The sequence below is a fragment of the Homo sapiens genome, chromosome 14 (assembly GCF_000001405.40).
Source record: "Homo sapiens chromosome 14, GRCh38.p14 Primary Assembly".
NCBI lineage: Eukaryota > Metazoa > Chordata > Mammalia > Primates > Hominidae > Homo > Homo sapiens.
In genome coordinates, this window is record NC_000014.9 from 106,284,458 (window position 1) to 106,309,398 (window position 24,941).

The 24,941-nt window shown below is 40.3% G+C and overlaps 1 long non-coding RNA gene, 3 pseudogenes, 1 gene segment (V, D, J or C) and 1 further gene; 1 reads left to right on the forward strand and 5 right to left on the reverse strand.

The window, feature by feature from the left end:
- Positions 1-24,941, reverse strand: part of IGH (immunoglobulin heavy locus) — a 1,293,408-nt gene that overhangs the window by 698,021 nt on the left and 570,446 nt on the right.
- On the reverse strand, positions 1,538-3,435 carry HOMER2P2 (HOMER2 pseudogene 2; annotated as a pseudogene).
- LINC00226 (long intergenic non-protein coding RNA 226) lies at positions 3,217-3,915 on the forward strand. The gene is made up of 2 exons (NR_033375.2): positions 3,217-3,509; positions 3,613-3,915. It is a non-coding gene; the product is annotated as a long intergenic non-protein coding RNA 226 (long non-coding RNA).
- Positions 4,569-5,022, reverse strand: IGHV3-25 (immunoglobulin heavy variable 3-25 (pseudogene); annotated as a pseudogene). The gene is given in 2 exon segments: positions 4,569-4,875; positions 4,977-5,022. Coding segments are annotated over 2 exon segments (353 nt in total).
- Positions 9,109-9,350, reverse strand: IGHVIII-25-1 (immunoglobulin heavy variable (III)-25-1 (pseudogene); annotated as a pseudogene). The gene is given in 1 exon segment: positions 9,109-9,350. A coding segment is annotated over 1 exon segment (242 nt).
- IGHV2-26 (immunoglobulin heavy variable 2-26) lies at positions 16,938-17,381 on the reverse strand. The segment is given in 2 exon segments: positions 16,938-17,249; positions 17,336-17,381. Coding segments are annotated over 2 exon segments (358 nt in total), but the record flags the coding sequence as incomplete, so codon positions are not given.

Sequence of the window (24,941 nt, forward strand, 5' to 3'; positions counted from 1 at the left end):
ACTGGGACATGGGGTGGGTCTTTCATGAATGGTTTAGAACAAACTCCTGGTGCTGTTCTCATGACAGTGTGTGAGTTCTCATAAGATCTAGTTGCCTAACAGTGTGTAGACCTTCCCTGCTTCCTGTGGCTCCTGGTCTGGCCATGTGACGCACCTGCTCCCCTTTGTCTTCTGCCATGATCCTAACTTTCCTGACTCTCCCCAGAAGGAGAAGCCACTACACTTCCTGTACAGCCTGCAGAACCGTGAGCCAATTAAACACACTTTTTTTCTCAAATCCCTCAGTCTCAGGCATTTTTTATAGCACCGTGAGAATGGACTAATACAACATCAAAACGTCAAGTGGGGCACCTTAAACCTATACATTATTAAAATATTTCAATTATACCTCAATAAAACTGAAAAAATTTAAGCTTATAATAAATACATACTTCATATTTTCTCAATAAAAAGAAGACAACATAGGAAAACTTACACTAAGACATTTGTAACAGCTTTGTTTATAATATTCATAAACTGGAAACAAATTTAAAGTCGATTTACAGGAAAATAAATCAAAATACTGTCATTTACTTATTTAACAGACTGACTCAGATATAAAACCTCTCTCCCTCATCTCTCTCTCTCTCTCTCTCTCTCCATATATATGTGAAAACTTTGAGGTTTCATATCAGAGTCAGTCCATTACTTGAATAAATGATAATATGTTGATCTAATTTAATACCTTAAATAGCAGGAAATAACCTCAAAAAATAGCAATGTAGCCCATTACCAAATTAAGGTCTAAAATGTTTGATTGCATTTATATAAAGTTCAAAACAGAAAAAAAATGGATCTATAGTGTCAGAAATCAAAACATTTCCCCATGCAGGAGCTGACCGCAAGCACAGAAAAAGACGCATGTTGTGGGGAAGGACTTGCTCTTCAGGCTACCTTAGGTGTTGGGAACAAAGGTATTCACATTTGACAGAAACTCTCTAGTGATACATTTCAGGTCTACGCATTTTTTCTCATATGTAATTTTTTTCTTATATAAATAAAACATGTAGAATAGTTTAAAATTCAGTAAATAGTAAAATTAGTATTAAAATCCTACATGAAATATCAACATCATTATAGGAATTAATAAAATGCATTCAAGTATACCTACTAAAATTAAATCCCAGAAATCAAAAAGATAACTGTAACATCTGAAACTTATTAATGAGTATATATTTCATAGAGAAGGAAAAAATTGTCGACATGTGGCACATGTATTTTTTCCAATCAAACGTCATTAAATTATTTATACAACATTTTAACCTGTGTCATTGGTATAAATTACCAATATTTTTTGTAATATTACAACTGAGAACAATTTTTAAAGAAAAAAGGATATTTGCACGCCCATGAACTAAATGGAATGTATTTTCAATGTTGGTCCAACTATTACACCTCTAACAATACCATGGTTTTGAGTGGGGCTTGGAAAAAATATTTTTTATTTTATTTATTTATTTTATTTATTTTATTTTATTTTTTTGAAATGGAGTCTTGCTCTGTTGCCAGGCTGGAGTGAAGTGGCGCCATCTCGGCTCACCACAACCTCCACCTCCCAGCTTCAAGTGATTCTCCTGCCTCAGCCTCCCTCTTTTTTTAATTGAACAAATATTTATAAAGCACCTACTTTGCGCCAGGCATTGTGCTAGGCACCCTCACTGTGTGCTGTTCCCGCACCACAGTCAACTGCTCAGAAATTAAAACAAAGAAATGGAACATTGTCACAACCATACAAACTGGGGGGCACGGGGCAGGATCGGGGATGCAGGTGATTCCCAAACCAGAAAATGTACTCACCAGAAACCTGTTTTCCATCTCTGGGTAAGTCTCCACTAAACAGTTATTTTAAAGCTTCCCCATGTTTTCGGAGAGGAATGTTGTTCTCCCTGTGCCCCCAAGGCTGGCACCTGGAGGACCTTCAAATACTCTGAATGCTATCGGATAAAAGGAGCCCGATGGCCTGGTGTAAAGAATATCAATATTTGGATGAGAAAATGCTTTTTTTCAGTTCATATGGTTCCAACAACCCTTATGAACGATATAAACATCCCTGGCCTGACTGCGTAAATGTTGAAGGTAGACCTGGTTCTGGTTTCCTCAGTCAGAATCTTCCAGTTGTCCACAACCTCACAAGGCCAGAGAAGCGAGAGATTTCTATTCTGGAAAGGAGTGAGTGGATGGCACAACTGGTTTGGAAACACGACACACGGCGCCTGCATTTACAGAAGCAACGCACACAGGGAACGTCCTAGCGCCATCTGGTCTCGCACACATACTTAGGACTCACGGTGGGGATCCCGGGCCTCTGCCAGCCCTAGTTGTTGGTGCCCAGCCTGGGAGGCCTGGGCGGAAGTTATGCAGGCCTGGATCTTCCGGTCCAGCGCCACCAGGAAGCGCCTCCAGGTGGCGCTGTCGGGATTTGCTCTCCTCAGGGCCTATCTTTAGGGAACGCACTTTATCTTCCAGGTTTTGATCCTCTCTCTGCCGCCTCCATCTTCTCAGAGACACAGTCGCACTCTGACTCACGGCCTCTTCCTCTGCTCCGCACTGGCCGTCGACTCCTGCAGCGCCGTGGGCAGCCGGAAGTCGGTCTCCCGCCGGGTCTGCAGCTCCATCTCCCACCTCTTCCCGTGGGCAGCTCTGCGTCGAGGCCGCCTTCAGCTTGTGGTTCCCAGACTGCAGGTGCGTGTCGGCTGCAGCGGCCTGAGAGGCCTTTCATCGTCCGTCCCGTTGACACTGGATGCCGGAGTAGAAGATGGGGCTCCACGCCCTGATTCTCAGGATGATTACTCGAGGGCTCCATGTTCTCCTGGGTCTTGTCTTTGGCTGTCTTGGCCGCTTCTTCCACCTCCTGGAATTTCTCTGCAAACTTTGTCAGCTGCTGCTCAGAGGAAAACCCCAAACCAAACACCGTGTTGGCTCTGCTGTCGGCCCACTGCCCAGACGTCTGTGACGTGTTGGTGAAGGTCATATTCTGTGTAATTGTGTTGTTTATGGTCACCTTGGCGCTGTCCACACTGATGATCCCATAGCTGTTCCTTGTGACATCATAGAAACAGGAAATGGTGACCGCCTGTTGCTCGCAGGCATCCAGTTCTTCTTGGTGTTGGGGTCAATCTGGAAGACCCGCGCTCGGGGGGTGAAGATGGGCTGTTCTCCCATTCTGACGCTGCTCCAGCGGCCGCTCCGACCCGGCCTCTGGCGCTGGCTCTCCGCCCGCTGGGCATCCGCTCCCCGCGCGGCACGTGCGGCGGCCCCTGCGCGCCTGGCTCAGCCCTGGCGCCGCTCCATTCCGCCAGGCGCGGGCGGGCAGGAGCTCTGGAAAAAATTATTCTAAGAGACAAATTAAAAGAATAATCTGTAATAAGGAGACGTCAACATTCCATCTCAGGAAAAAACTGAAAACATGTAATACATACAAAGTCCTGAGAAGAAACCTCGAAGCACAGGAAGGGTCTCATGTATAGTAGGTTGTAATATGTTTATTGTTAAAATTATTACCTTTGTGTTGTTTTGAAAAATTGAAGAAAAATATAATGAAATTAAGTGTTTTGTGCTTCTCTGGTATAACAGCATGTTGAGAAAACTGAAGAGCCCTGTAATCCTGAGGAGGGGGCCTAATCCAAGGAGAGAGAGGCTCCGGGTCCTGTGGACACACACGGGTTGCCTGCTTCACCCCATCTAGGAGCTGCTTCCTGAAGCCTTCAGGAGGCAGGAGGCTGAATTTGTTTCTCAGGACAATCTTAATCACATCCGGACAGGGAGAAAAACATTCATGACCTAGGACAGATAAAATATGTATAATTAAAATTTCATTGAAAATTGAGAAATTTTGGTTGTATGTATTTATAGTGAATAAAGCTATGTTATGATTTATGAATGCAATATGGAATAATTGAATCGAGCTGATTGACATATATATCACCTCAAATCCTCAAATTTTTATTTTTGTGTGTGTGACAAGGACATTTGAAATTTGTTCTTGGATGTTTGAAAATGACCAATACACTATGTTTAAGGTTACAAATAGACATCAATTTATGTAAACTATAGGCAATGATTGAAAGGAATATGGATTACTATATATGTTTCATTCTTTAGGATGTATTTTATAATTGTTATAATAATTTTATTATAACATTAAATATAAAAGACCACATATATGTATAAGTTTGTGTATTTACACATATGTCTATAGATGTAAATTAATGTCCCTATAGCTATGTAGTAGCTGATATCAACAGATGTTAACAAAACTCTAAAAAGAACAAGTGCAAATTATTAGGAAGAATTATTTCTTGAAGGTATGTATTTTAAAAAAATAACCTTACATATAAAATAAAAATTAATAAAACACAATTCCCAATAAAAAAGTTCATGATAAATAACCATAGTAAAATATCACAACCTAATAAGTCTCCAGAGTCCTGCAACAATAAGCCCGCCTCCTGCAGCTGAGAAAGGAAACCACCCGCATGGCCCTGCAGGGAGGTTTGTGTCTGGGCTCACACTGACCTCCCCTCACTGTGTCTCTGGTACACTAATACAGGGCCGTGTCCTCGGTTTTCAGGCTGTTCATTTGCAGATGAAGTGTGTTCTTGGCGTTATCTCTGGAGGTATTGAATCGGTCCTTACCGGAGTCTATGAGGTATGTGCTACCCCCATTAGGATTAACTTGTCCAACCAACTCCAGCCCATTCCCTGGAGCCTGGCGGACACAGTTCATGTAGTAGCTACTGAAGGTGAATTGAGAGGCTGCACAGGAGAGTCTCGGGGACCACGCAGGCTTTGCCAAGCCTCCCCCAGACTCCACCAGCTGCATCTCACACTGGATACCTGCAAACACAGAGACACCCCGGTCAGAAACTGCCACACGTATCCACTGTTTCTCACTCATATCCATTCATACTCAATATCTCTAGTTCTCTATAGATCACGTTTTAAAATAGCAACAAGGAAAACCCAGCTCAGCACAAACTCCATGGTGAGTCCTCTGTGTTCGGTGCTGATCACCAGATGAAAACACCTGGGAATTCGGGGGCTGGGCTCCTCTCCCAGAGCTGCAGGGTCGGGGCTGGGCTGGTTTTTATCAGCAGAGAGTGGGCCCTATTTCCATGTCTCCTACTATATAGCAAGCTCAGGGGTGGGACGGCTGAGGAGAAGGCAGTGCCCGGAGCAGATGAGAGTGTCCTGGAAAACTCTGGAGGTAATCCTATCACTCTGGAAAATATAACTTCAGATTATGTGATTGTGCCTTGGTAATCATTTAGCAGACATCAGCTTATTTAACTTTTACATATTTGCAGAATATATTTAATGCAACTGTCAATGTTACATTTGTAGAGAAGATAAATTACATACAGAACAGAGCAGTTGTGCAATGTGTCCAATATCACACATCTGGCCAGAGTTAGCCCTATTATGCGTGCCTGTGCCTCTAAACACTGGAGGAGACTGCTCCCCTGAGACAGCTCCAGGGTGGTGTGGGACATGCCTAGAGAGGTTTTCAGGATGTCCCTCCTGTCATAACAACTTTGTGTAATTTTGCCTTTTCTAGTGTTTACCTGAAATCTACAATCAGTGTTCACATGTGTGTATTTTCAGGAGTCCTTGATTATTCAAGTGTCGGTATTTATCCATTTCTTGCTCTTTCTCAGCCAATATATTCATTTTTGTTACTGCTTTATTAAAAAAACAATCAATAATGAAATCAAATTGATAGTGCAGCATTTGGAAAATGTTGATATATGTGTGCAGTCATTGAATCAGCACTTCAATCATGTTTTAGCAATTAAGTTAACCTCTAATTTTTTTTATCTAACTTGTCTATAATTTTATTTCACCACGTTGTTACTCTGCCCACCCTATTTTCAGAGAAATTCAGATCTTCTCTATGTTAATTTAGAATATTGCATCTTCTGTGATTTATACAAATGAAATCACATGAAATTGATGGTGAATTCTTTAGCTTCCTCCACTCAGCAAAATTATTTGATAATGCCCTCATGTTCTTATGTGAATGAGGCATGCCTTGATTTCAGTGGTTCATTCTATTTCAGTACATGAATATTTCTCAAATTGTTTAACAATGCACCAAATAATGGATACTTCATTTGTTGTCTTAGTTTCTGAATTTTATTTAGAAATCAGATACTAAGCGTTAGAATGTAAAAATTGAGAAAATGATATTATTCTGACCTCGTTAACAAAAAACATGAAGAATTACAAAAAATAAACCCCTCACCATATCTGAGTTGATGTCACAGAGAAAAAAATCCCTGAAATATGAGAAAATAGGGGCCCGCAGAGAGAACTAGGGTGCGTTTATTAGAGTACCTGGGGCAGGTGCCACTCATGGCATGGTATTGAAGATAGGAAAAAGCTAACCTGGAAATGTTTAATGAGTTGCTTGAAGATGTGTGTGCTAATGGTGTGAGAGTGTGAAACTCCTGGCACTTGCAGGCTTTTCCTACAGAATTGGGGAAATCCCCAGACAACTCACCCACCTGCTGTCCTGTGGTGTTGACTGGGGAGGAAGAACAGTAGCTCCGTTCAATGCTGAATCCCCCTTCATTATATGCAGGAGACATTTATTAAATCTTGTGTCCTGTGGGCACTGGTAGAATCAACTAGAACACAAGGAAACAGAGGACATCAGGGAAACTCTACCCAGAATCACCTCCCGTCTGTTTCCTGAGGAATGAAATCCAGAATCTGTGGGGTAAGGACAGTGGGTCAGAAGCTGAGGACACTGATGAAAAAACAGCATGACTGGGAAGAGACACTGTGACACTGAGGAAGGGAAGGAACAGGAACACTTGGAAGATCATGCATCAGAGCCAGTCTCACCACCCATAGCTAAGAAGGAGGCTCAGCCAGAAGGTTGGAAAACGTGCCCCTGTGTCCAAGCCCCTTCATCCCACAAACAGTCACCAAGTAAATGTGTCAGCAGGATGCACCTGCCACAGCTGAAAGAGACAGCCTTTCTTTGGGGAGAATGAAATGTGAAGATCCAAAGCCAAACAGGGACACAAACGCAGGTATCACCAGAGGAACCTGAAGTTTTTGTGAACAGGAGAAGCTGATTTCAACTCTGATAGCCACGGCAACCATACACTTGAAACCCAAGCCTGACTAGGTTCGCAGAAACATGGTTAATAAAGGCCCAGCAGAATGTAATGTGTGATCATCTCCAGGAAAAACTAATAATAATTACAAGAAAATAAATTACAGGTGAAATGCAAACTGAAATTCTACATGCATTAAAATTTCATTAAAGGTGAATGGCAAATAAAATTCTGTCAGAAAAAAAGATCTGGAGAATATGTGTTGTCAGCACATTCATGTTTCAGGGCACATTTTACAAAGATTCTCTGCGAGTAGCCATGTGATATGCACTCAAAATAGAAATCTCTACAAAGAAATAAAGATTGTAAAAATGGAAAAATCTAGATGAATTGTACTCTTTAACATTTGTAATTGCTATAAGATATAACTGTATAAAGTAATAAAAAATTACATATTCTATTTTACAGCATATGTAAGTGCAAACAGAATAAACAAGAAAGAGTGGCGAGAAGGAGGAATTCAAAGCACACAGTTACACTATCTGTGTTCTTCATATCAAGGCCATCACAGGATTTACATTAGAATCTAATTACATACAATTTTTATTGTAAATCTTATGGTAACTATACAATATTTATAAAAAGGTAATTAAATACCATGTTAATAGAGAAATAAGCATCATTATAAAATGTTAATTTAAACAAAAATTAACAGAAAAAAATATTGTTGGTTTAAAAATAGAATTTATTGCTCATGCCTGTAATCCCAGCACTTTGGGAGGCTGAGACAGGTGGATCACAAGGTCAGGAGATTGAGAGCATCCTCGCTAACACGGTGAAACCCCATCTCTACTAAAAATACAAAAAACTAGCCAGGCGTGGTGGTGGGTGCCTGCAGTCCCAGCTACTCGGGAGGCTGAGGCAGCAGAATGGCATAAACCCAGGAGGCAGAGCTTGCAGTGAGCCCTGATCGCACCACTGCACTCCAGCCTGGGCGACAGAGCGAGACTCCTTCTCAAAAAAAAAAATAGAATTTATTATAGTTGATTTAAAAAAGCAATAGATAGTTTCATCCATGTCCCTACAAAGGACAGGAACTCATCATTTTTTATAGCTGCATAGTATTCCATGGTGTATATGTGCCAAATTTTCTTAATCCAGTCTATCGTTGCTGGACATTTAGGTTGGTTCCAAGTCTTTGCTATTGTGAATAGTGCTGCTATAAACATACGTGTGCATGTGTCTTTATAGCAGCATGATTTATAATCCTTTGGGTATATACCCAGTAATGGGATGGCTGGGTCAAATGGTATTTCTAGTTCTAGATACCTGAGGAATCGCCACACTGACTTCCGCAATGGTTGAACTAGTTTACAGTCCCACCAACAGTGTAAAAGTGTTCTTATTTCTCCACATCCTCTCCAGCACCTGTTGTTTCCTGACTTTTTAATGATCGTCATTCTAACTGTTGTGAGATGATATCTCATTGTGGTTTTGATTTGCATTTCTCTGATGGCCAATGATGATGAGCATTTCTTCATGTGTTTTTTGGCTGCATAAATGTCTTCTTTTGAGAAGTGTCTGTTCATATCCTTTGCCCACTTTTTGATGAGGTTGTTTGTTTAAACCTGCATGTTGTGCACATGTACCCTAAAACTTAAAGTATCATAAAAAATTAGAATATTTAAGGACTGCCAAAATAAAAAAGCAATACACAACTATTAGCTATGTACAAGAAAGTTTCTCTACATATTCACAAATAGAAAAGATAAATATGAGAAAACATGAACCAAGAAAAGCTATAGTAGCTGTATAAATTTAAGACAAGGTAGACATCAAAAAACACTTTCAGGACTTAAGGATATTACATACTATAAAGTTATCAGTTTTTTTAAAGACACCAAAAAAGACTTAACAAATGTATAATAGATGAGGAATACACTATTCATTGTGATTTACATAACAAAAGTGATAAAGGAAGTAAAGATATCAGTGAGACCATGCACGTAAGGGTGTCCTGGGGACTGTGAAGATTCTTTGTATTCATGGAGGGCACCACTGAGAGCTTCCTCTTCAATTTCTCCCTGTTGCTGCCCACATCAACCCTGGTCCTGGAGCTTGCTGGACCAAGCTTATGCTGCAATCAGTGAAGGTGAATCCAGAGTCTTTGCAGGAGAGACTCAGATAGCCCCCGGCTGCACCGTTATTTCCTCTGTCTCCCCCGGTGAACTTCACACAGGACTTCTGCAAACACAGAGGGAACAGACTGAGAACAGCCTCATCTGGAGCAGCCACAGCTGAGCCTGATCCGCAAGGACACTAATATTGAGAGTGATGAGAAGGGAAGCCCAGATCAGCACAGACCCCATGGTGTGGATACTGAGGAAGGCACAGGTGTGGGGTGGTTCCTCACCAGGACCACTACGGACAGGGGATGAGCTGCTCCTCTTGAGTGTGGGAGTGACCACATTTCCATGTCTCCCTTCCTGTGGACATGTGTTTGCTACTTATCAGCGATCATCCCCCCTCTGCCTGTGGATTTCAGGGAGGGCAGATCAAAGGATTCCTGGGATTGGATGCTCAGAGTTAATCTGCAAACTACACTTTCTTTTTCTCTAATGAGGGCACTTTTCAGGTGTCTTTATAGATGAATGTTTATCAACAAAATAACCCAGTAAATACATGAAAATAAACTTTTCCCAGAGGAAACATATATCTGCCTGTAGTCTCTACATGTAGAGCTGTAAACCACTGTTCTTAACAAGAAGGCAAAATGTTCATTTAGAATTTAAAATAAAATGCAGATCTACACATTGTTATGGCTAGAGTCCATAAGTGCTTGTATTCTGAGCTAATTTTGCTACACAGCAGTTCAGCATCAGGCATATATGCTTATGTGAAGAAGGAGTCATTGTGGGGCATGTGTGGTTTTCTGAGGGGAGAGTCCACATTGCAATGTGTGTGCTTGTCTGAGGGAGGAGTCCACGTTGGGACAGATGTGTGTACATGTCTGAAAGTAATTGCCCATTTAGAGACAGTGTGAGCTAGACTGAGCTGGAGTTTGAGGAAAACTTTTCTCACTTAAGAGATTATGAGAATCCTCTGGGTGATTTCCTTGTCAGGAAGGAAACTGGCTCACATGGGAACCTTCTGAAAGAAAACTCTCTAGTGAATGGACACATCTTATATCCAAATGGAGAAAGTTACTTTATTCTTTATTCCCCGTATCTCATGCCATCCCTGCCCACACTGAGTAACATTGCTAGAGATTTCTATACAGTCTGCATCTCATCCTGGGGTTCATGACCAGCTAAGTACTTTTTTAAGTGACTTATATAATGGGTATGTAAAGAAACTTACAACTGATCAAAAATAAACAATGCTATCAAAAATGAGCCAAATACCATAACAAACACTTCATCACAATTATATAAAATAATTAAATATAAAATTTTAGAGACATGTGCATTTAAACAACAATGAGCTATCACCACCAATAGATTAGAATGGTTAAAATACACAATGCTTATAGTGCCAAATGGCAACGAGGATGTGGAAGAACGGAATCTATCATGCATTGCTGGCATGAAACCAAAATTATAACTGCACAAAATGGAGACATTAAAAAATTTCGATATTTTATATAATTTACATAAATGTAGAATTAAAATGTGACCTAAGAGGTGTGTTCCAAAATATTTACAACACCCATTCAAAAGTGTGTGTTAGTGCTCACACTAATATCTTCAGAGGAATTCTTATATCAGTTTTATTAATTTGATTTGTTTTCCACTCCCTGAATTTTGTTTACAGAATACAAGTTGTATGGAAAATTTCCCAAATAATTAGAGTGCATACACATTTATATTTTCCTATTTTTCAATGACTTAACCTCGCTTTCTTTTTGTTGTTGTTGTTGTTTTTTTGAGACGGAGTCTTGCACTGTCACCCAAGCTGGGGTGCAGTGGGTCGATTTCGGCTCACTGCAACCTCAGCCTCCCCGATTCATGAGATTCTCCTGTCTCAGCGCCCAGAGTAGCTGGGATTACAGGTGTACACCGCCACACCCGGCTAATTTTTTGCACTTTTAGTAGAGATGGAGTTTAACCATGTTGGCCAGACTGGTCTCAAATTCCTGACTTCGTGATCCACCCACCTCGGCCTCCCAAAGTGATGGGATTGCAGGTGTGAACCACCACGCCCGGCTGATTTAACCTCACTTTCTAAAAAAGTCTTTAATCAAATAATCCCTGTAATCTCCTCAGCCACAGCATAGCTGCCTTCTCCCTCAGGGTTTCAAGATGTGGGTTTTCACACTATGCCTCTTTCACAGTAATACACAGCCATGTATTACTGTATTACAGGAGGGGGATTTTTAGGTAATGTGTTAAGGGCATATATAATTTTACAAGAAACTAAGAATTATTTTCCTGTGTAGCTGTTTCATTTTGCATTCCCATTAGCAATGTTTTAGACTCTAGAAACCTGGTATGCTCACCAGCATCGGTATGATCCATCTTTCTTCTTAATTTCAGCCATTCTAAAAAGGGTGTTTGGGTATCTTATTGTGGTCTTGATTTGAATTTCTGTGATGAAAAATCCTGTTGAGATCCTGTTTATATGCCTATGTGTAATCTGTACATCTTCTTTAATGAAATGCCTGCACAAACCTTTGCCTATTTTATCCATGGGTTGCCTCTTCTTTTATTCACTGTTGAGTTTTGAGGGTTCTTACTATAATTACATAGGTGGTGATATGATTTGCAAATCTCCTCATCTAAAACTTGACATTCATTTTCTTAAAATCACTTGAGTACAAAAGGATTTTAAGTTAAATGAAGTTCAACTGATATTAATTTCATTTATTGATCATGATTTAAATTTTAATTTTCAAGATCTTTGGTCAACTATTAATAATTTTATATTTTAAATTGTAATTGTTTTTATCTTTATTTGTATAAATTTAAGGGCTATGGGTGCAACTGTGTTACATGGAAATATTACACAGTGGTATTGGCTTTAGTGTACCCAACACCCAAGTAACGTACATTGTACCCATTAGGTGATTTTTCATCATGCTCCCAACTCCTACCCTCCCATTCTGCTAAGTCTCCAATGTCCATAATCCCTCTCTCCATATCCTTGTGTACACACTGTTTTCCTCCCACTTATAAGTAATAATGTGTGATATGTGGCTTTCTGTTTGTGAGTTAGTTCACTAATTATAATGTCCCCCAGTTCTAGGCATCTTGCTGCAAAAGACACAGTTTCATTCCTTATTGTGGCTGACTAGTATTAAATTGTGCATATATGCTATATTCTTTTATAAAATCATCTGTTGGTGGACACTCAGGTTGTCATATGTGCTATTGGGAATAGATTTGTGGTACACATAGAAGTGTGGGTATCTTTTTGAAATATGATTTCTTTCTCTTTGGGTAGCTACCCAGTAGTGGGATTGGTAGAATAAAGGCCAGTACTGTTTCTCATTTTTTGGAAAGTCTCCATACTGTTTCCTTTCTCTCTCTCTCTCTTTTTTTTTAACTATACTTTAAGTTCTGGGACACATGTGCAGAATGTGCAGGTTTGTCACATAGGTATACATAGGCCATAGTGGTTTGCTGCACCCACCAACCCATCATCTACAATAGGTATTTCTCCTAATGCTATCCCCTCCAGCCCCCCACTCCCCGACAGGCTCTGTTGTGTGATGTTTGTTCCCCTCCCTGTGTCCTTGTGTTCTCATTGTTCAACTCCCACTTATGAGTGAGAACATGCGGTGTTTGGTTTTATGTTCTTGTGATAGTTTGCTGAGAATGATGGTTTCCAGCTTCACCCATGTCCATGCAAAGCACATGAACTCATCCTTTTTATGGCTGCATAGTATTCCATGGTGTATATGTGCCACATTTTCTTTATCCAGTCTATCTTTGATGGGCATTTGGGTTGGTTCCAAGTCTTTGTTATTGTCAACAGTGCTGCAATAAAAATATGTGTGCATGTGTCTTTATAGCAGAATGATTTATAATCCTTTGGGTATATACCAAATAATGGGATTGCTGGGACAAATGGCATTTCTAGTTCTATATCCTTGAAGAATCACCACACTGTCTTCCACAATGGTTGAAGTAATTTACACTACCGACCACAGTGTAAAAACGTTCCTATTTCTTTACATCCTCTCCAGCAGCTTTTGTTTCCTGACTTTTTAATCATCGCCATTCTAACTGGTGTGAGGTGGTATCTCTTTGTGGTTTTGATTTGCATTTCTCGAACGACCAATGCTGTTGAACTTTATTTTATGTTTGTTGGCTGAATAAATATCTTCTTTTGAGAAGTGTATGTTCATAACCTTCCGCCAATTTTTGATGGGGTTGTTTTTTTTTTATTGTAAGCTTGTTTAAGTTCCTTGCAGATTCTAGATATTGGCCCTTTGTCAGATGGATAGATTGCAAACAATTTCTCCCATTCTGTAGGCTGCCCATTCACTCTGATGATAGTTTCTTTTGCTGTGCAGAAGCTCTTTAGTTTACTTAGATCCCATTTGTCAATTTTGACTTTTGTTGCCATTGCTTTCGGTGTTTTAGTCATTAAGGCCTTGCCCATGCCTATGTACTGAATGGTATTGCCTAGGTTTTCTTCTTGGGTTTTTATGGTTTTAGGTCTCATGTTTAAGTCTTTAATCCATCATGAGTTAATTTTTGTATAAGGTGTAAGGAAGGGATCCAGTTTCAGTTTTCTGAATATGGCTAGCTAGTTTTCTCAACACCATTTATTAAATAGGGGATCATTTTCCACATTGCTTGTTTCTGTCAGGTTTTTCAAAGGTCAGATGGGTGTAGATGTGTGGCATTATTTCTGGGACCTCTGTTGTGTTCCATTGGTCTGTATCTCTGTTTTGGTACCAGTACCATGCTGTTTTGGTTACTGTAGCCTTGTAGTATAGTTTGAAGTCAGGTAGCGTGATGCCTCCAGCTTTGTTCTTTTTCCTTAGGATTGTCTAGGCTATATGGGCTCTTTTTTGGTTCCATATGAAATTTAAAGTAGTTTTTTTCTAATTCTGTGAAGAAAGTCAATGGTAGCTTGATGTGGATAGCATTGAATCTATAAATTACTTTGGGCAGTATGGCCATTTTCACGATATTGATTCTTCCTATCCATGAACATGGAATGTTTTTCCATTTGTTTGTGCCCTCTCTTATTTCCTTGGGCAGTGGTTTGCAGTTCTCTTGAAGAGGTCCTTCACATCCTTTGTAAGTTGTATTCCTAGGTATTTTATTCTCTTTGTAGCAATTGTGAATGAGAGTTCACTCATGATTTGGCTCTCTGTTTTTCTATTATTGGTATATAGGAATGTTTGTGATTTTTCCACATTGATTTTGTATCCTTAGACTTTGCTGAAGTTGCTTATCAGCTTAAGGAGATTTGGGGCTGAGATGATGGGGTTTTCTAAATATATAATCATGTCATCTGCAAACAGAGACAGTTTGACTTCCTCTTTTTCTATTTGAATACCCTTTATTTATTTCTCTTGCCTGATTTCCTTGGCCAGAACTTCCAATACTATGTTGAATGGGAGTGATGAGACAGGACATCCTTGTCTTGTGCCGGTTTTCAAATCCACCATGATCAAGTTGGCTTCATACCTGGGATGCAAGGCTGGTTCAACATATGCAAATCAATAAACATAATCCATCACATAAACAGAACCAATGGAAAAAAAACACATGATTATCTCAATAGATGCAGCAAAGGCCTTCAATAAAATTCAACACCCCTTAATACTAAAAACTCTCATTAAACTATGTATTGATGGAATGTATCTCAAAATAATAAGAGCTGTTTATGACAAATGCACAGTCAATATCATACTGAATCCATACTGTTCTCTATAGAGGTCGTACTCGTCCACATTCTCATCAACAGTGTCTAAGAGTTCCCTTTACATTTCATCCTCTCCAACATCTGTTATTTTTGACTTTTTAATAACAGCCATTGTGAATGGTATATCTCACTAGTTTTAATTTGCATTTCCCTGATTATTAGTAATGCTGAGCATTTTTATATATCTATTGTCCATTTTTATGTGTTATTTGCAAAAATGTCTACTCATGTTCTTTGCTCATTTTAATGGGGTTATTTGGTTCTTGTTTTCTTTTGTTGTTGTGGTTTGAGTTTCTTGTTAATTCTGTATATTAGTACTCTGTCAGATGCACAGTGTGCAAATATTTTCTATCATTCTGCACTTTGTCTGTTCACTCTGTTGCTGTGAAGAAACTTGTTAGATTCATTAAGTCCCATTTGTCTATTGTTTGCTTTTTGTCCAGAAGAGTTGTCCTGGTGTTTTATTTGAATACATTTACAGTTTGAAGACTTACATTTAAACCTTTAATCTATTTTGTGTTAATTATTTACATGTTGAGGGTGGGGGTCCAGTTTCATTCGCGTGCATATAGCTATCCAATATCCCCAGCACCCTTTATTGAATGGGGTGTCCTTTCCCTGGTGTATACGTTGGTTAATTTTTGTTAACTTTGTCAAAGATCACTTGGCCATAGATTATGTGGCTCGGTTCTGGGTTCTGTAAAATGTACCAAAGAGCCTTGGTTCTCCTGGGGCCTCAGTACTGATCTGCTCACTGCTTGAACTCCGTTGACTCAGTGATGCTCCTATCATTGTAGTGGTTTGTTGTCATGCGATGGCTGTCCTAAAATTGTGGACAATTCTGTTTTCGTGTTCAAACATGAGCTAGGGATTTCATAAGAAAAGTGTTGTCGAATTTTTCATTTCTTTTTTTTTTTTTTTTTTTTTTTTTTTTTTTTTTTTTTTTTTGAGACGGAGTCTCGCTCTGTCGCCCAGGCTGGAGTGCAGTGGCGCGATCTCGGCTCACTGCAAGCTCCGCCTCCCGGGTTCACGCCATTCTCCTGCCTCAGCCTCCCGAGTAGCTGGGACTACAGGCGCCCGCTACCACGCCCGGCTAATTTTTTGTATTTTTAGTAGAGACGGGGTTTCACCGTGTTAGCCAGGATGGTCTCGATCTCCTGACCTCGTGATCCGCCCGCCTCGGCCTCCCAAAGTGCTGGGATTACAGGCGTGAGCCACCGCGCCCGGCCCGAATTTTTCATTTCTTTTCCGCATTGCTCCTCAGACTTACTGAGCTGGGTTTCTGATGTCAAGCTGAGGCATTTTCCTTTCCAAGTGTTGGATTTTATACTTACCTGGGTATTTAATCACTCCCTGTGTGGAAATCAGCCTCATCTATCACACCTTCCCTATAAAATTTTTAGAAATTTATTTGTGCACTGCAAGTGAGACACTCCATGATGAGGACACATTCCATCTTTCTTGTTGTTTCATAAAATTACTTTATTAGTGTAAATTTTTCTCTGCAAAAAAAGATGGTATCTGGATTTTAATTAATCATCCTGCTCTTTTATCTCCACATTCTTCTCCAACATTACTTCCTGCAGTTTAAGATGGCCTATGTTATAGATATTTGTATTCAGCCCCTTGGAAGGATATGAGCTCAAGAAATAAGTGGCCACATATCAGTGATGCATGTGGCCCAGGTAATGGGAATCTTTCATGCTCAATCTTTGTCAAACAGGATACAGCCTCTGCTTGCGTGAATCACTAACAGGGAACATGCCATTTAATAGTACAGAATAGGAAAACAGACAGGGCTCTGAGTCTGGTTGGTATAGGAAACACAAGCCCTGGCAGGAAATGGCATCTCAGTCACACTTTCCTGTTCTGCAGAGGTAGGGAGGGAGCACCACTGAGATGCAGCTAGGTTCTTGTACAGGAGGCATCCTGGGCTGTGTCTCTGTGGTATCCGTGCACAGTAATATGTGGCTGTGTCCACAGGGTCCATGTTGGTCATGGTAAGGACCACCTGGCTTTTGGAGGTGTCCTTGGAGATGGTGAGCCTGCTCTTCAGAGATGTGCTGTAGGATTTTTCGTCATTCGAAAAAATGTGTGCAAGCCACTCCAGGGCCTTCCCTGGGGGCTGACGGATCCAGCTCACACCCATTCTAGCATTGCTGAGTGAGAACCCAGAGACGGTGCAGGTCAGCGTGAGGGTCTCTGTGGGTTTCACCAGCACAGGACCAGACTCCTTCAAGGTGACCTGGGACAAGACCCCTGTGGAGAAGACATAAGAAGATGAAGCCCACAAAGGAGACAACTGATGTTTCACTTCTGAGGAAGTCCCTGACCACAGCACTCACAGGAAGGGGTGGTCAGCAGCAGGAGTGTGTAGCAAAGTGTGTCCATGGTGGGGCACAGGAGTCACTGAGCGAGGCCCCGTGCTCAGCTTTTGAACCCAGAGGAGGGTGGAGCTGGTGGAGATTTGCATTCCCTCATCTGAGTCCTACTCTATGGGGTGCACTCAGGTCTCAGGACTCAGTAGGGGAGTGCATCTGTGGTGAGGAGCAGTGAGCCCTCAGGTGTGGGCGTCCACGTGGGATCTCCATGGGGGACTCCATCTCATTTCAGGACCATGCCTCTCAGCCAAGGCTCTGAGATTCCTGCTCCTACAGACAGGGTCTTCTCTAAGGCTCACCCAGGGAGCATGCAGCTTTCTGGTTTTAGTCCTAGAGGATGAGAGTGGAAATCAATAGAGATGGTTTTCTTTCTTCCTTCAGGAGAAATGAGGGTGGGAATCTGGGAGAGCAAGGGGCTTCCCATAAGTGTTCTGATAAAAATCCTCTTTGTTTAGGGGGAAAGTGATGATTTTTTTGAATGATAGAGAATACATCAACAAAACATTTAAAAATGTATTGTGTAAAGAAGTGTAAATGGCATCTCAGCCATTTACACACTGCAAGACACACAGCTTATTTGTGTGTCTGCACATAGGTGCATTCCTATAGGAATGTTCCATGGATAATCAGTCTTGTCTTTATGCCCTGTCAGCCCTTTAGGAAGAGTAGACTGCATCTCTGACATCCCTCTTCCAGCGCATGAGTGAGCAGAGGCTTTAAACAGGGTAATTGGAGGAATCCCAGGGGAGCAGCTGGTAGACTGTTCCCAGCCTTGATTTCCACCTGCCGTGGAGGTGGTCTCTGTGCTTATAAGGCCATGGAGACTTTTGTCAGTTCAGATTGACCTAATTACTGCAAACAATAATATACAGTAATTGGAAATTTCTAGAACAATGCACATATACATATACACCTCCATGCTAGCCATTCTGAGCTCTGTGATTTAGTGGAAGTTAAGCATTTGCACCGCGGCCATAAAGTAGGATCATTATGTAACTCACAATGTTGTTGTAAAATCATAGTTCTGCAATAATTAAAGGCTGGTGATTTACACTGGGCTCTATCGCTGACAGTTTTGGTTGTCAGCTGCAGGAAACAAGACTAAGAAGCAGTGAGATAAAATTAGTTTTCTTAGATTTAGAAAATGGTCTGGATGTGGCTTATGGAAAAGAAGACAGTAACATTCAAAGTCGTAGCCAATAAGCCCTGGGTTTTTACCTCACTTACCTCTTAGAAGCTCAACTAAAGCTGACTTTCCCCTCTCATTGTCTTCAATAATGTTTCAAAGTCTGGGAAAGATTAAGATTGGGCTAATTTTGCCGATGTTACCTTTCAATTCATAATAAAAATGATTTTTTGAGTTATTTCTTAGAGTAAAATAATGACAAATTAGCTAAAATATGTACCAATACCTGTGAGCAAATATAATATGGAAACAGGCATGTTCTAATACTAAAAAATAAATATTAGAAGTTGGGATGATATTAAGTGAAATTCAGTTGATATGTATTGACCTGCATATTACTGTGTTATTGTGTAGTCAAGATATTTTAGAAAATCATAGAATAAAATTCAACATTCATTTCTGATAGAAATTATCAAAAACTAGGTATACAAGAAGGATATCTCAAAAAATAAAGCGCATATATGAGAAAAACACAGCTTTCATCACACGAAGCATGGAAAAACCGGGAAATTTTCATCTAAGAAGTGGAAGAAGACAAAAATAACCATTTTTATCACTTTTATTCAGAATAGTACTGAAATGCTAGCCAGAGTATTTAGTTAACAGTAAAAGGAAATGACCTCAAATTTGGAATTGTGGAAGTCAGATTTCCTGTGAGCAGACAAAAAGATCTTATATTAAAAAAAGAAAACTAAAGCCTTCTCACAAACTATTAGAATTCATAAGCAAATTAAGTAAAGTTGTAAGATTCATCATCTACATACAATAATTGGTGGCATTTCTATATGTTGACAGCAAAACATCTGAGAATGAAATCCATGAAGCCTTTCCTTTTACAATAGCTGCAAAATATACCTAGGAATAAATGTTACCAAATAAGAGAAAGATTTCTAGAGGATAACTATAAATTATTGGTAATAGAAAATGAAATGGACACACATAAATAGGACATATATCCCAGATACTCCACATTTATGGATTGGAAGAATTAATAGTATTGAAATTTTCATACTACCCAAAGTTATTTACAGATTAGATAAATTATCTATCAAAATAATAATGGCCTTCTTCACAGAAATAAGAAAAGCAATCCTTCAATTCACACGTAGGCATGAAAGACCCAGAATAGAAAAGACCATCCCCCAAATGCATGGCATTTACACATTCGCAGTTCATTCATTTGATTATAACAGTCCCCAAACTCTTAACTCATTTCATCATCAACTCTAAACAAGTTTAAAACATAATTTAAATATTAACTAAACCATACATGAGTAAGATTTGAGGTAGAATTATTTCTGAAACAAATTTCTCTCCAACTCTGAGCCAGTAAAACCAGATATCTTATTTTATTGGGGCTGCTTTAACAAAGTGTCATAAAGTGCATGACTTTAACAAGACATATTTATTCTGTGCAGTGCCGAATGCTGGGAAGCCCAAGACAGCCAATCATGTGTATGTAAAGGTTTCCTTCCTGAATTGCAGATGGCCGTAATTTTATCGTATCATCTCATGACAGGGAAGCAAGAGAGAAAAGCTCTCCCGTGACTTTTTATTAGAGCACTAATCTCATTTATGACGGCTTCAACCTTTTCACCTGATCACCCCTTAAATGGCCCACACCCCAATTACACCACACTGGGGATTAGGGTTCCACAATATTAATTTTGGAGTTGCATACACATTCAGTCCATAGCGCTGGACAAGTTATTTGATTTCAAAATACAGTGGTGAGTTAGGCATAAAATAGACATTTTCTCCCCCAAAGAGAAAAATAGAAAAGAAAGGAGGGGTGATGTGTCCCCAGCAAGTACAACACATAACAAAACAAATTACCATAGACCTTAAGGCTCAAGTGGAATCTTCTCTGGGCCAAGCTTCTTCTTTCCCAGCTCATTGCAGCAGCAGAATTAATTCCAATGCTTTAAGTAGAGGCACCAATGGGTAACTGCTGGGTTAAGGTCCCATCCCAAAGACCCCATGCAGCCCTACACACAAGGCTCACTGGGAGTTCCTAAGTTCCAGGCAGTGGTAGGAGGTCTTTTCCTCAAGGTTTTAAGCATGGATGGTCTGGTCTGTTGAAACCAAGGTAGTGGTCATGATTACTTCTAAATAAATTCAAGGTTTATTTTTCTTTGTTCTGGAAGAATGGTGCACATTTGCAACCAAGTAGCTCCATCCTCTTAAATCTGAAGAATCTGACAGTATTCGTCCATTTTGTCTCATCTCCATCCTTGTTCTTTAAAACCTGCATTTATTCTCTTTTAATACCATAAATTCTTTATCAAGTGATATTACAGCCTCATACTCACTGTTCTCTTCAGAACACACTTTCTGATTTTTGCAACACAGATAGATTGAGAATTTTCCAAGCCTTTAAGTTTTGGATATTTTCTCCCTTATAATTTCATTTTCAATTCATCTATTTCTTATTATAAATGCCCAGGAGAAACCAAACTACACTTTCAACATTTTACTTAGAAGTGTTCTCAGCTAAATATTCAATTTTGCTGCTCAAAGTTCTCTTTTACTAAATATCACAACATAGTCTAGACAAGTTTTTTTTGTCACTTTATAACAAAGATCACCATTTATCCAGTTTCCAATAGCACTCTACTCATTTTAATCTATCAGAATGACACTTAATATATAAATTTCTTTATGCATGTCAAAACTATCCAGCCTTTTACACATAACCCAATTCCAAGGCACTTTCCACAGTGTTGAAATAATTGTAACATCAGAACCCCACTTCTTCATCCCAAATTCTCTTTAGTCAGTTCAAACATTAAAAACAATCATACTTGGTAACTTACACAACCTTAATTTTATCTCAGTTCCTCAATTCTGGAAATTCAAAGATAAACATGCTGGCAAGATAGGTTTTATTTTGAGGCTTCTACTGTTGGCTCATAGCAGCCACCATATTGCTATTTGGTCACATGACATCTTCACGTGGAGCGTGTGTGTGTGTGTGTGTGTGTGTGTGTGTGTATGTAAAGACAGAGAAGGGTTCAAGGAGAGAGAGAGAGAGAGAGAGAGAGAGAGAGACTCTTGTGTCTTTACCTCTACAGGCGTTAAGTCCATTTTAATGATTCCACACCCCTAATTTGCTGCACAATTAAATACTTCTTCTGTTCGTCCATTATTGAATTGTAAAGAAATACCTGAGGCTGGATAATTTATAAAGGACATAGGTTTTATATGGCTCACAGTTGTGCAGGCTGTACAGCAAGTGTGGTGCTGACATCTGTTTCTGCTGAGTGCCTCAGAAAGCTTACAGTCAAGGCAGAAGATGAAGGGGAGCAAGAGTGTCACATGACAATAGGGGGGAAGATAAGAGAAGGGAGTGGTACCAGGCTCTTTCAATCAGCTGTCATGTGAACTGATAACTCATTCATCACCAAGGGGATGACACGAAGTAACTCATGAGGGATATGCCCCTAATGCCATGCCTCCCAGCAGACTTCACCTCCAACACTGGGGTTCACAGTTCAACATAAGATTTGGAGAAAACACACATCCAGACCACATCATTCTGCCCCTTATGTCTTTCTTACATTGCAATATACAATAATCCCTCCCCAGTGGTCCCTGACAATCTGAACTTGTTTTGGCATTAATTCAAAATCCAAAGTTCAGACTCAAGGAAAAGTTCCTTTCACCTATGAGACTGAAAAATCAAAAATAAGTTATTTACATCCAAAGTACAATGATGGGTCAGAAATTGGGTGAGGAGTCCTATGCTAAAAAGAGAAAATGGCCCAAAAATTGGGTAAAGATTTTTATGGAAGGCCAAAACCTAGTCGGACAGTCCTTCAATCTTAAGGCTCTAAAATAATCATTGACTCCATGTCTTGTGACCTGGTGCAAGGGTGGGTGCCCAAGGCCTTGGGCAGCCCTACCTTTGTGACTTCCCTAATGCAGCCCATAAGGCTGCTCTCATGGGTTGGAGCTGGGTGCCTGTGGCTTTTCCAGACTCGAGCTGCAAGCTGCCTGTGGATCTACCATTCTGGGGTCTGGAGGTTGGTAGCCCCCTTCCATAGCTCTACTTGGCAATGTCATGGTAGGGACTCTGTGTGGAAGATCCAACCACACATTTTCCCTGCGATTGCCCTGAAAGATTTACTTTGTCCCCTAAAAGAGGGAAGTGCATGGTAACACTTTATGTAATTTAATGATGTATCTGAAAGCTTCATGGTCATACAAATACACATACATGCACAGCAGCCCAGCAAAGACACATAAGTATGATCAGGTGAAATGAATGTATATTTAAACACCAAAACACCATGCCCATTTGTTTCATATTATTCTAATTATTTAATGGCATTTAAATTGTGTTTGCAGTTTGAGATTGTAGTACAAAATAATGTTTTCCTATGTGTATGTCTGCCTATTCCAATATTTAAAAAAACAAATACACTTCGATACATGTTTTGGTAAAACTGTATGTAAATGCAATTATTGTCAAATATGTCACTTAAACGTGCAATGGTATTTATTTTAAATATTGGCCTGTTATTAATAAATTGAATAACTAATTTATTAATAGTTTAATAGAATTAAATAGAATAACTCTATTTAATTAACTCTATCTATTAATTAAATAGAATGTTCAAATAGAATAACTAATTGACCATAGTATGCATTATGAAACTAAACCCAGCCCATGCTTTTCAGGACTCTCTCACAATGGCAGCTTCCTAGAGGGTGGCGTGAGAGTGTGCAAGCACATAGGGATTTGGACTTCATAATCAAAGGACTAGTGAGCCCCAGGGCTGAGCACATAGAGGGCAGCAGGAGGTGAAGAGCCCACTCTGTGGTACTTAAGGAAGGGAGGGTATGGGATGAGGGTGATGTCTGGAGGGACCTAGAAAAGGATGAGGAGGGCAGAGAGTGCAGGTAGATGAGCGTATTCTAAGGAGAACTGTTATACTTCTAAACTTGGTTGGCTTCAGTGATTATGAAAAGAAGGGAACTGATTCACCAGACTTGGAAGACAGAAAGTAAAGGGACTTTCTTTTTCTGCATGGAGACTGAGGAAGATAAATGGCTTTCAAAGAAGAAGGGAAGGTGGAGAAACAGTCTGAAAAACAGGACACTGGAAGCCAAACAAAGTGGAGAAACAGAGCCTTTAAAGTGCTGTTTATTTTCCACAAACAGCAGATGAAAGAAAAAGAAACAAAACACCATGCATATGCTGAGTTAAAGTTAGAAAACATATACAATTGTTTGACTATTACAGCACAAAAACACAAAACTCTATTCATGGAAATAGTCTGTATTGAGGATATGCATTTTTTTTTCTAAGACAGGGTCTCACTCTGTCACCAAGGCTGGTGTGTGGAGGCACAATCATAGCTCACTGCAGCCTCAACCTCCCAGGCTTAAGGAATCCTCCCTCCTCAGCCTTTTAAGTAGCTGGTTGCACCAATCTCAGCTATTTCTTCTTTTATGTATAGAAAGCATCTCACCATGTTGCCAGGCTGTTCTAAAACTCCTGAGCTCAAGTAATCTGTCTGCCTCAGTCTCCCCAAGTGCTGGGATTACAAGTGTGATTTAAAAAATTTTACTATTTTAATAATAGTATTATTTTTAATAATTAAAATATATAAATAACCTATTTTAATAATTGTCCCGAGAGATCATTGCTAGTATTACTCAGAAAATACGCAGCAATAAAAGTTGCATTACATCCCTGTTCTAAGTTAGTGTTTTGTAGGTAAAAGAAATCATGGAATTAAAAGGAAAAATCAGACATCCTGGGGAAGACTTTTGCTTGACCAGGTCAGGAATTTCCAGGGTCTGAAAGGAAATCACAGCCTCTGAAGCTCCTGATGTGCAGCTGCCTCCTAAGAGAACCTGCATGTCCTGAGCGTCCCCTGGTGGTTCTGAGCGCCCCCTGGTGACCTGAGCCCAGAATTGTTGTCTTTAGCACCACCTATGTCCTGAGCGCCCCCTTGTGGTTCTGAGCACCCATTGGTGGTCCTGAGCGCCCCCTGTTGGTTCTGAGTACCCCCTCTTGTCCTGAGCGTCCCCGAGTGTTTCTGAGCGCCCCCTGGTGTCCTGAGCGCCCCCTGGTGGTGCTGAGCGCCACCTGGTGGTTCTGAGCGCCCCCTGGTGGTTCTGAGCGCCCCCTGGTGGTTCTGAGTACCCCGTGGTGACATGAGTGCAGTAGTGTTGTCTTGAGCGCCACCTAGTGTCCTGAGCGTCCCCTAGTGGTTCTGAGCACCCCCCTGGCGTCCTGAGCGCTCCCTAGAGGTCCTAAGCACCCCTTGTTTCCTGGCCACCCCATGGTGGTTCTGAGCAGCATCTACCACGCAGTTCCCTCCTGTCTCTCTGCAGAGATTTTTGTGTCTGGGCTCAGACAGATCTTCCCTC